The 12,492-nt window shown below is 40.8% G+C and overlaps 1 protein-coding gene across 4 annotated transcripts in view, besides 1 other annotated feature; it reads left to right on the top strand.

Moving 5' to 3' along the window:
* NFIA (nuclear factor I A) overlaps positions 1 to 12,492 on the top strand; it is a 385,562-nt gene that overhangs the window by 263,358 nt on the left and 109,712 nt on the right. For all 4 annotated transcript variants that reach the window (NM_001145511.2, NM_001145512.2, NM_001134673.4 and 1 more), the window contains one exon: positions 11,866 to 11,983. In NM_001145511.2, the coding sequence (NP_001138983.1) occupies positions 11,866 to 11,983 (118 nt within the window). The remainder of the gene's footprint in view (positions 1 to 11,865; positions 11,984 to 12,492) is intronic.
* Positions 3,160 to 3,360: a silencer, noted in NCBI's record as "peak260 fragment used in MPRA reporter construct". NCBI's record gives its function as "represses an SCP1 promoter by STARR-seq MPRAs in K562 erythroleukemia cells {active_cell/tissue: K562}" and the evidence as "EXISTENCE:reporter gene assay evidence [ECO:0000049][PMID:32103011]".

Here is a 12,492-nt window from a genome sequence, read left to right on the forward strand (position 1 = left end):
GATGCTCAACAATGATAACCACCACGATTATTGAACAGAGCCTCAGCCCCTGATCGTTCTTCACTGTGTGCTCAGAGCCAATCTTGGAGCTGACCACTATCAGTAAATTTATTGAAAATGCATGTGTGTGTGCGTGTATAAATTAAGAAGGGCCAATTTTAGAATTCATGTTCTAACAACCAATTATTAGAAGAGCCACTCTAGTGACCCTTACGGAGTTAGTAATTCCAATAGAGTAAGAGCATGCCAATAGTAGACCTCATTCCTCTGTTTTGAGCATTGTTTTTCCTCAAATTTTCAGAAGATTCTTTTTCCTCAAATTTTCAGCCAGAGCCTGTGTTTCTGCATTATTCTAGAAATTGTTCTCCTAGGATATCTCGTGGATAGCAGAATGTTTTAAAATTCTCAATCTAACACTGACACATTAACAACTTTTTAAGTGGCAAACCACACCTGGGTCATCTGTACCGGCATTCTTTTTTTTTTTTTTTTTTTTTGAGATGGAGTCTCGCTCTGTCACCCAGGCTGGAGTGCAGTGGCGTGATCTCGGCTCACTGCAAGCTCCACCTTCCGGGTTCACACCATTCTCCTGCCTCCGCCTGCCGAGTAGCCGGGACTACAGGTGTCCACCACCGCGCCCGGCTAATTTTTTGTATTTTTAGTAGAGACGGGGTTTCACCGTGGTCTCGATCTCCTGACCTCGTGATCCGCCCGCCTCCACCTCCCGAAGTGCTGGGATTACAGGTGTGAGCCACTGCACCTGGCCCATGTACCAGCATTCTTAAAAGTAGTACTTAGTTTTACAGTATTTTAAAATTTTGCTTTCACTCATATTATGAGCAAAAATTCCCTATGAATGGCAGAAGCATGCTACAGGTCATTACTGACAATGTGGTTTGTTTGGGTTTTCTTGAGACAGAGTCTCACTCTGTTGTCCAGGCTGGAGTGTGGTGATACAATCATGGCTCCCTGTAACTCCACCTCCCAGGCCCCAGGGATCCTCCCACCTCAGCCTTCCCAGTAGCCGGGACCACAGGCACGCGTTGCCACATCCAACTAATGTTTGCATTTTTTGCAGAAGTAGGGTTTTGTCATGTTGCCCAGGCTCGTCTCGAACTCCTGGGCTCAAGAGATCTGCCTGCCTTGGCCTCCCAAAGTGCCTGGATTACAGGCGTGAGCCAGTGTGCCCAGCTAATAATGTGCTTTTTAATAAACCTTTATTTATGCACTCATAAGCCTCAACTTTTTAATGGTGGATATTCATATCCAGTAGTAACACTGAAAAACTAGAAGGGGTTTTTGTGACCTCCAAAGCTTGAGAGAAATCCTATATTACCCTGCAGTAGGGCCACAAATATTATTGAGATTTGGCTGGAGTACATTATCATAGCTAACTCTTGCCGAGTAGAAGGGCTGTTGGTAGTGACCATCTTAGCATGTCTAGAATGGGGCCGGTGGAGTCCACATTCAGCAAAACCACACATAGGTCAAATACTGGAACTGAACTAATCCAGTGTGTGGTTAATATGAGTACATGTTAATACCCAGGATTTTTCACTAGGTGGAGGAGAAAAAAAATGAAAGTTATTGGTGGAAATATTGAAAACTATTTTTTTTTTTTGTAAACAGCTGAATTAGTCAGTTGTTGGGATGGGACTCTGTTGATACGGTTTGGTTTCCTAATAGCTAATGGTCAAGTAGTCCCAGTGCACTATTGGTTGTGGGGCTTATGTTTAGCTTAGCCCTTCCCTGGTTTATAGATCACTGTGGCAAAAAGACCTCTTAGGCCATCAAATCCCATCCCTGTCAGAGAAGACTTAATCCCATGACTGAGGCTGTATCAGATACTAAGCAGGTACCACATTTGACCTCAACCAAAAGCTAAGACATGATGATACTCTAAAATGCAGAAAATCAATTTCAGCCCCCAAAGCAGAAGGCACTAATGCAGATCAGTCAGCATTGCTAACCCCTCTGTGGACTGCTCTGTTAGACCAAGTGGCAGGGCCCTTCATCCAATGGAACTCTTGCTGACGCTTATAAAGTTTAAGACCTGCAAAAGCAGAGAGGCGAGAAGGAGAATGATGAGATAGAAGTTTTGCCACATAAGTGTAGGCGATAATTATTCTTCTATTTAAACGTGTTGAATATATCTCCTTCATAACTGATGACAAAGGAAAGACAGCAACACTAGAAATGTGAATTTCACTCCTGTTTCTTTGAACAGATATCTAGGAAATATCTACATTCAAGCCCTTCTTCTGTCACTTACTTAGTTGCATGATCTTGACCATGTTACTTAACTCTCAGCGTAGTTTCTCATTTCTAAATGAGAATAATATAAATACATATTCCATAGGGATAATGCAAAGATTAAATGAGATAATTCAGGTAAAATACCTAGCACATTGCCTGGCATGTAATAAATGCTCAATAAATATTAGCTCTTAGCTATTTTTCATTAACAAGCTCGTGTAATTTTAGTTCAACTCAGTAAACATTTGGTGCATATGTAATATATGAAGCACCCTGCACTGTGTACTGAGGAGAATACAAAAATAAGTAGGAGACAGCCTTTTCCTCTACAGGGTATATATTTAAGTTTCTTGAGATCTAAGACTGAGCTTATTTTATGGCAATAAAAAGCCTGAATACACTTAATTTACAAATTAAACTCACAGTAATTATCTGTCAAAGATAAAGTATCTTCCTGATTCGGAGTGGGGTGGGAAAATGTATCGGTTAATTTTTCCTATTTTAATGAAACAGAAACATTTTTTGAAAAATAAAAATTCCTCTCTTCACCTCCCTTTTCTCCTTCCGCCACCATGTATATATTCCTTAACATGTGTTCACAAGACAGGGATGTGTGAAAATAGGGCTCTGTCTGTGTTAGCGGATGCCTTTCATGGGGTTAAAAAATATTCTACTGGCTTTTGTCACCTAATAGTACATTTCGTAAAAAGCATTGCTTAAATCTTTTAATAGCAGGCAAGTTCATTTTCACATAGAGGGAAATCCTTGTTTTAGTTCATTGCCTTTTTTTAATGTTCCTGTTTGGAAAACCATACTCTTAGCCTGCATTTGGTCAGACCTTTTAGAAAGGAAAAGTAGAAAACAGGAGATCAGCACAGGGTTTACAGACCAGAAATCTGCTTGGCAAAGGAGTTGCTGAAGACTGTGGCGTAGAAGCTGCAGAGAAAGTACCTTTATGATTGATTTCCATTCAAGTCAGACTGACTGCAGTGTGGTCATTTTTCTAACCCATAACTGCTCACACTGCAGCAGTCTGCTATCTGCAGGGTGTCTGAATTATAGCAGTCTATGTTCGTGTTACCTCTTATACAAATTACTTACACTGGTTTCTTTTTCCATGCAAATTCATCAGTTTTACAGCCTCTCACAGCCACAGTCAGGAAACTCTGGCAGAGAGCACAAATTGATAAAATGAGTTAATTTTTACTATACTTATTTTTTTTCTTTCTAAAAGCCCTTTCTCATAGGCAGTGTTCAGGAAGCATATTACGGTAAAAGGGAGATAACAAAGGAGTTGAATTTTCTTGCCATAAATTACTTTCCAAGTTAATTCCCTTTAACGATGATTCCAGATTTGCTTGAGTTTTCATAGCATTGTGCGTTTTACAACTGTGCCTTTGATAGAAAGAAGAACAAGTATTTTCCCATGTTCAGTCCCTTTGTGCCAGTGACATGAACTTTCTTACAAGATCTTTGCCACTGGAATGCAAAACAACACTAAATTGTGCTGGGTCCATAGAACTCTGTGCTGCTATTGGACTTTTCCCCTCCCCCGGTCTTCAAATACAAGTTCCCAAAGTCTCACTGAGTGTTTTAGATCATGTAATCAGAAGAAAAATATCTCTCCATTTTTTCATATTTGTAAGTTGGAAATTGAGTTGGGTTACTTATTGCCATTCTTTCATATTCCTCGGTGGCCATACAGATTTGAAGAAGGGACAATAATGGTCAGTCTCTGAAATGTAAGCCCCACAAGGGCAGGGGTTTTCTATATCTTGTCCACTGATGTTTCTCAAGCATCTGGAATGATGCCTGGCTCACTAAAAGTGCTCCATAAATATTGTTGAATTCCATTGAATACAGCCTCTCTGAGGATATGTACTATTAACCATAGGCTGGACAAACTAGTCATTTCGTTAATGCTCCCTGCTGACTTCCGTTGAACAAGTTGGAAACTTAGCACACTGTAATCTCTCAGGCAGAGTAGCTCAAAAATTTGTATGGAAATTTTTTCCATCATCCTCTCTTTCCAACAATGCAAGCCTGAGCAGCTTGTCTCTGGTGGATGGCAGAAGTTCAATAACCACAACCTTATCCAACTACTAATGTGTACAGAAGAGCAGGTCATTAAGAGGGTTGGCTACTAAAATAACCCCTTTCTTCCAGTAGCCTACATTACTATAATGATTCCTTAATAGCAAACCATTTATTAAGAAATGACACAAAGACTACATTCTACTTATGACAGGAAAGAGGCAGGGGTAGAGGATGAATGACTTGGAAGTAATATTTGAAGAGACCATTTCCAAAAGTTAACCTTTTGAGAAAAACTCCTCGATAGAGCAAAATACTTCAGATTCGTTAATTACAATACTACTTAAGAAAATTGAGGAGCCTTCAACACAATTTATATGTATTTATAGAATTCTGAGTTTCATTTGGTATTGTTTAAAGTTTAGAGGGGGCAAATAGGGAGGGTAATTATTCACTCTTCTTAATTCAAAGCATATTTATTGATGATCAACTGTGTACACAAAACTGGTCAAAGGGAGCTCTAGGACCTGTAGGATTAAAGTCATGTGTATCACCTCTGACTTCATGACCTGGGAGAGTTATTTAACCTCTTTGTGCCTCAGTTCCTTCCTGGTGGTATGGTGAGGATCAGGATTCCCCAGTGCTCAGGCTGCAGACTAGTACCAGTCAGTGGCCTGTTAGGAACCGGACTGCACAGCAGGAGGGGAGTGGCGGGTGAGTGAGCATTGCTCCCTGAACTCTGCCTCCTGTCAGATCAGTGGTAGCATTAGATTCTCCTAGGAACGCAAACCCTATTGTGAACTGCACGTGCGAAGGACCTGGGTTGCAGCCTCCTTATGAGAGTCTAATGCCTGATGATCTGAGGGGGAACAGTTTCACTCCGAAATCACCCCCCTACTCTGATTCATGGCAAAATTGTTTTCTATGAAACTGGTCTCTGGTGCCAAAAAGGTTGGGGACTTCTGGTGAGGAGTAAGTGGGATGATGTGCTTAAAACCCTTAGCCCAACTTCTGGTTCATAAATGATGCCTAATAAATCGTGATGGTGATGGTGGCAGCAGTGGTTAGTGGTGGCAGTTCATTTTTGCCATAATTATTATTAGAATTATGAGGCCCAAAGAGTTCCAGTGACTTAATCAAGTAAACAGGTGGTGATTGGCAGGATTGGGAATCTAGACAATCTCTCCCCGTCCTATACTAGCATTTTTTATGCCCCATGACATCTCTTTATAACCTTCAAAATGCATCTCAACCTAGATAGGGAGAAAATGTTACATATGAGACAAAGCATGATAAAGCCCAGAGTCAATTACAAATGGAGCAAAACTGGATTTCACAATAAATGGAACAGAAAGGCAGTGCTGTGCTTGGTCCAGTCCTACCTAACATCTCCACATTTGATTGGCAGCGACTGCATCGTTTTTATAGCACACCAGAAGGCAGTTAGTCTTTAACCTCAAAAACCCAATGTGATAACCTGGGCAGGCCAGAATTTATGTGACATTGGACAAATCATTTAACCTTCCACAACTTTTATTAGTTTCTTAATTTTCAAAAGAAGGACTTAATGCCATTATTAGTTAAAAAGTATACTGTGTTACATACATCTTATTGATATTTTATATTTGTTAGAAGAATATGATCATTTATTTATGCCCTTTCAAGTGCACAATTGGGAACAGGTCTTTGAGACCTGTTTGCTCTCCTGGAGGAGGTGTCAAATTTCCATTGTAAAAATTCTATTTTCTTTCCCAGCAGCAGAGTCTTGGCCTCCATTCCCTTCTGCTGGGACACTTGCATCAATCTTCTGATTTCCCCACCTCCAGAATCTTAGCCCCCTTCCATGCATTCTGAATATGGTTGCTGTGTTAGTCCGTTCTCATGCTGCTATGAAGAAATACCCGAGACTGGGTGATTTGTAAAGAAAAGAGGTTTAATTGACTCACAGTTCTACATGGCTGGGAAAGTCTCGGGAAACTTATAATCATGGCAGAAGGCACCTCTTCACAGGGCAGCAGGAGAGAGAATCGGTCCCCAGCAAAGGGGGAAGCCCCTTATAACACCATCAGATCTCGTGGGAACTTACTCACTATCACGAGAACAGCATGGGGGAAACTGCCCCCAAGATTCAGTTATCTCCACCTGGTCCCACCCTTGACATGTGGAAATTACAATTCAAGGTGAGATTTGGGTGGGGACACAGAGCCAAACCATATCAGTTGCCTTGTGATTGTTCCCAGGTCCACAGTGATCTTATCACTTCCCTATTCAGAAACTGTCCTGGATCCCACTTTTTTTTTTTTTTTTTTTTTTTTTTGAGATGGAGTCTTGCTCTGTCGCCCAGGCTAGAGTGCAGTGGCACGATCTGGGCTCACTGTAAGCTCCGCCTCCTGGGTTCACACCATTCTCCTGCCTCAGCCTCCCGAGTAGCTGGGACTACAGGCGCCCACCACCACGCCCGGCTAATTTTCTGTATTTTTAGCAGAGATGGAGTTTCACCGTGTTAGCCAGGATGGTCTCGATCTCCTGACCTCATGATCCGCCTGCCTCAGCCTCCCAAAGTGCTGGGATTACAGTCGTGAGCCACCGTGCCCGGCCCACTTTGCTTCTTATCTCCAAACTTATGCACATACTTTGTCTATTGCCAAGAAAGCCTCTCCTGTGTCCTGTGCCTCTTTAAATCTGAACTATCCTCGAAGGCTCAGCTTAAGTGCCCACTCTTCCTGGAATCAAACCTTTTTCTGATCTCACAAGCCAATGGGATCCATGACTCCTTTGAACTTTCCTAGCACATTCTTTGCATTTTTTCCTATGAAATTTAGCATGTTCGGCATTGCATTAGATATTCAGGTATTATTTTAGTATTCCACTTAGGTTGTAAACCTTTTGGGGACAGAGACACTGTGTATCTTTTTATCATTTCAAGTTTAAGACAAATACTATATGTGGGAGTCAGTGTGGCGCAGTAAGAAAAGCCCAGGTTTTGAGGTCAGTATCCTTACATTTTAACCCTGACTCTCTCTTTTTGTCTTTTTGTAATCGAGGACAAGTTATTTAATCTCACTTCAAGGCTTCGTTCTCCTCATCTAGCAAATGCACTTTGAGGTTTGAGAATGAAATTAAGTACAGTAAGTACAGTGCTTATCAAAACATGGCATCATGGGTGCTCCAAAAAGCCTGCCTAAAGCCCACCTCTTCAGTTCTTCATGACCTGCCAAAAGCTCTTTCTGTTCTCCAGATTAGAGGTACTGAGAATACCCAACCCAATGCAAGGATACTTTGATAGGGACTGCTCCCCTCAAGTGTGAAGCTTTCTCTTTGGCTGTGACAGTGTCACTGAGTCAGAATCCAACCCAATAAGCCAACTGTCCATGTGATTCATACCTACAGGCAGTTGCAGGGGGATGTTCCTTTATAAGACTCTTGAAGAAGGCAGAGTTTGGGTCTGTGAATTACTAGGATTATTTAACTCAGGGTGTGAAACCCATTCTCATTTCAGAAACTTAGTGATGTTTTAAAATTCAAGACACACATAACCAGTTTGCCAAGCTCTCAAGTTACTCATCAGAAGTCTGATAGACACTTTCGGGACGTGCCAGGCCACCTGGTGCCATTTGCCACATTACAATTCCAGTGTACTTAAGTGGTTCACAGGAAGTATATATATGACCAAGCTAAGCCCGTTTATGTGGGCTTAATTATTTTTTAACATCTGGAAGGTGGGCACACCATGTTTACACAGGCTTTTCTTTTTCTTCCCCTATTCTGGCTCTCTTGACATTTAAAAAAGATAAGGCAAAAGACATTTTTCTAGGATAGATAAAGTATTAAATTTAAGTGCAGCTGGATGTTCACCACGAGCTAGGAGGCCTCTTCTTCTCTCCGTCTGATCAAGTCCCTCACATTCACACTTTGCTCTGTGTTCCTCTCCTTCCAAGAGCGAGGGAGTGAGGGCCAGACAGTGTCCGCCATGCTCAGGAATGAAACGGCTTCTCCACCCAGTTGAGACCTCATCTCCCTTCTGACATTTGTGAAAAACATCTAAATCCAGAGCTATGACACTGATCAGCCTTATAACCCTTCTTTGGTTAATGAGAGGTGTGAATCTCTAATCTCCAGGAAGGCACAAAGCATTAAGTACCTACTGTATGTCAGCTTGCTGGGAGTGAGGATGAGTGATCTAGGCTCATATTTGACTAATCTCCCCCACCCTTCCTCCATAGCCTATTTCATACATAAAGATTACCTAATAAAAGAGGAAATTATGCAAATAAATTTAATATAAAAAGCAAATTAGGGAATGACTATCAGAATTATTAATTAGAACCCTGTTTACACTTATTGTCAAGCCTCACCGTTTTTTTTTAAACGAAAGGCCCTTAGAGCCTGTTACTGAGAGATGTGTTTGAATTTCAGAAAGTAGATGTGAATTTCAGTCTTCCATTTTTTTTAGCAGTGACTGTTTTTGTATATTGACAGTTGTGATTAAGGTTTATTCATTGGTATTAATCAAATAACTAAGTATTTATTCTTAGAAATTGTTTTATTTCCTCATACCGTCCCTCGATTCCATAGTTCCATTATGGCACCTCAATTCACCTGGTTTCCCAAGTGCTAATCGTGGGAGTTATCCCATACTCCCCTGTTCCCATTATTACGATAGTCAAGAAGTCAGCATGTCTTCTTTTTATTTATTTATTTTCCAAGATTTTTATTCGAGATGGGTTCTCACTCCATTGCCCAGGCTGGAGTTGTAGTGACATGATCATAGTTAACTGCAGCCTCAAACTCCTGGGCTCAAGTGATCCTCCCGTCTCAGCCTCCTAAGTAGCTGGGACTACAGGCACGTGTCACTACACCTAGCTAATTTAATTTTTAAAAAAAATATTTTTTTTTTCTGTGGAGACATAGTCTCACTATGTTGCTCAGGCTGGTCTTGAACTTTTGGTCTCAAGCAATCCTCCCACCTCAGCTTCCCAAAGTGCTGTGATTATAGGCGTGAGCCACCACACGTGTGCCCAGCCAGTCAGTACATCTTGATTCTAACTCCTGAATAACTTACATCAGGCTCCTCCTTTCCATCCTTTGAGTTTAGTCCCCATCCCCACTATACCTTGCATAAATGCCCCAGTGGACTCTCTGGTTTGCCTATTATATTCTTCAGGCGCCCCCCACCCTTTCACCTCCATGCCTACCCTCATGACAGACTGATCTTTCTAGGTGATAAATGCAAATTTGATGATAGCATTCCCATACTTTGCTGGTCCTTCTTTGACTATTGAATACAACTCAATGCAGCAACCCATTCCATTGACCAGTGTTTACTGACTGCCTCCTGGTGTCAGGGACTATATTAGATGCTGACAGTATAATCCCCAGTTATAGTGGGGTGAGGTAGATGCTTTAATAGCTTATAAACTTGGGAATCTGCTGAATTCAAATTTATGTTCCTTAAATAAACCTGCCAGATCCCACCGGGCACATGTTGGCTCATGCTTGTAATCCCAGTGCTTTGGGAGGCAAAGGCAGGAGGATCGCTTTAGACTGGAAGTTCAATACCAGCCTGGGCATTATGGTAAGGACCCATCTCTACAAAAGAAATTTTTAAAAAATTAGCCGGGTGTGGCGTAGCATACCTGTGGTCCCAGCTATTCCGGAGGCTGAGGCGGGAAGATTGCTTGAGCGCAGGAGCTGGAGGCTACAGTAAGCTATGATCACACCTCTGCATCTGCACTTAGCCTGTGTGGCAAAGTGAGCTCTTGTCTCTAAAACAAAGAAAGAAAAACCTGCCAGATCCTTCATAACCTCACCTTAACCATCCTTCCTCTTTCCCGTGTATTCTACACTATGTCATCATACCAAGCTATCAGAAATCCAGTAAACATTTTCTGCTCTCTTGATGCTGTTTCCTCTACCTAGAAGTCCTCCATCCCTTTCAGTTGCATAATTCCTCCTTTCCTTTTAACATTGTTTCCAGGCTTCACGTTTTCTGAGGCCATTCCCTTGAACTTCTTATCCCCAGGTTGGGTTAGATAACCCACTTCTTTGCAGCCACTTCAATTTAGGAATGCAGATGGTCCCCAATTTACAATGATTCCACTTAAAATTTTCAGCTTTACGATGGTGGGAAAGTGACATGTGTTCAGTAGAAGTCATACTTCAAGTAGCCATACACTTATTCTGTTTTTCACTTTCAGTACAATATTCAATCAGTTACATGAGATATTCAACACTTTATTATAAAATAGGCATATTAAGTGCATTTTAAGCTGATGATATTTTTAACTTATGATGAGTTTATCAGGACATAGCCTCATTGTAAGTTGAGCACCTGTAGCTCTATCAGATGACTTCGCAGACTTTTAAAAAATTAATCTGTCAGACTTTCTTTTCCGTTTAAGGGTAGGGACCATGTCTTTCATCTAAGTGCCTTCCTCACTCATCATAGTTCTTGGCAGTAGCAGGCTCTCAGTAAGCATTCATTGGATGTACAAATGTCCCTGGTTCATGATAACCCTTATTGTTATTTCTTCTGATGGATACTAACCTGTAATTTATTTATTCCAGTATCAAATCATGTGGGCTTAGCTCTCAAACCAGTGCCTCAGTACAGTATCTATTGTTCCTGCTTTGACATAACCTTTCAAAAAGATTATTTGCACTAATAATTTACACCACTAATTTTACGGAGTTGTTTTATAGAATTGGTACTTGTTATTTGTCCATTGGAAAACATGTATTAAACTACTGTCAAAAAGGTATCTAAAGATTCAAAGACAGAAAATGCAAGGAATCAGTCTCACACAAGGGTCATTTCTGAAAATCACAAATAATCAAAATTAAATCAAAGGTCAGAAAATCATTTTATAAGAGGCCAGCTAATAAATATGTTAGGCTTTGTGGGCCATATGGTCTCTGTTGCAGCTACTCGTCTCTGATGGTGTAATGTGGCAGCAGTCATAGACAATATAGAAATGAAAGGCCATGGCTATGCTCCCGTAAAACTTTATTCATAAAAACTATGGGCCTGCCTTAAATTACAAGGTTGGACAAATATTCAGTTAAGGTGTATGCAAGATGGAGAGGTGATTCAGAGTAAAGAGAAACCACACATTTCATGTTATAAGAAACTGGGAATGGACAGCTTAGAAAGATGACTTTGTTCTCACCAAAGTTCAAAACAGAATTCCAAAATACAGATGAGTAGAAGCTGTCAGGATCAGATAAAGTTAGAAAAGTCTAAAGAGTGTTTTGGCTGGTCATTCCAGAAAAGTGTAAGACCAAAATGTGGGGAAGTATTTTTGTTAAAAGCATCCAAGAATGTTGCAACCTTGGTGACAATTTACTATTACATAAAGAGAAAAGATGAAAAATATATTAGAAAAAATATGCCTTTCCTGTATAGACTATTTTTAGTCAATATTCCTTTGGAGTCATAGTTTATTACTGATTATTTTCGATTCGCTTACATATAAATGCAAAAAGAAAATGTGCTAAATGCAACACTGAGGATGCTGTCATTGATTTTTTTATCCACAGAATTTAACTGATTTTTGTTTGTTTTCTTAATTCTAGCACCAATAGCTGCAGGAACTGGCCCAAATTTTTCTCTCTCAGATTTGGAAAGTTCTTCATACTACAGCATGAGTCCAGGAGCAATGAGGAGGTCTTTACCCAGCACATCCTCTACGAGGTAATTTTATTGGCAGCTCTTGAAGAAATTATGCTACATGGTTGCACACCTTGATTTTAACTCTGGGCCCACTATGGATTTAGCAATGCGCCTTTAGTAATAGAAGATAACAAAGTAGTGGGTTCAGCCCCAAAAGACTGTCGGTCTCGTTGGGGAGATAAAGCAAATATGCATGTGGCAAGATTAAATACACACACACACACACACACACACACACGCACACACACTAAAAAACTGTGAACTAAATTGTGTGACACAGGCTAAAAATAGTTAAAGAGAGCTTTATGCAAAAAGAATACCTTGTTTCCAGCTCTAAATGTTGGTTAGGGTTGGTGAGATAGAAAGGAAAAGGAATGGAATTCTGGGTGGGGTGAAAAATGAGCAAAGGCTTGGAGGAAGGATGGATGATGAACATAACATGTTCTCAGGAAATGAAGGACAAGGCTGGACTGCAGCAAAGGGCATATGTTTTGGCTTGTTTGGCAGGAAGTGAACACTGGTGACAGTCT

Source organism: Homo sapiens, chromosome 1 (assembly GCF_000001405.40).
Source record: "Homo sapiens chromosome 1, GRCh38.p14 Primary Assembly".
Lineage (NCBI taxonomy): Eukaryota > Metazoa > Chordata > Mammalia > Primates > Hominidae > Homo > Homo sapiens.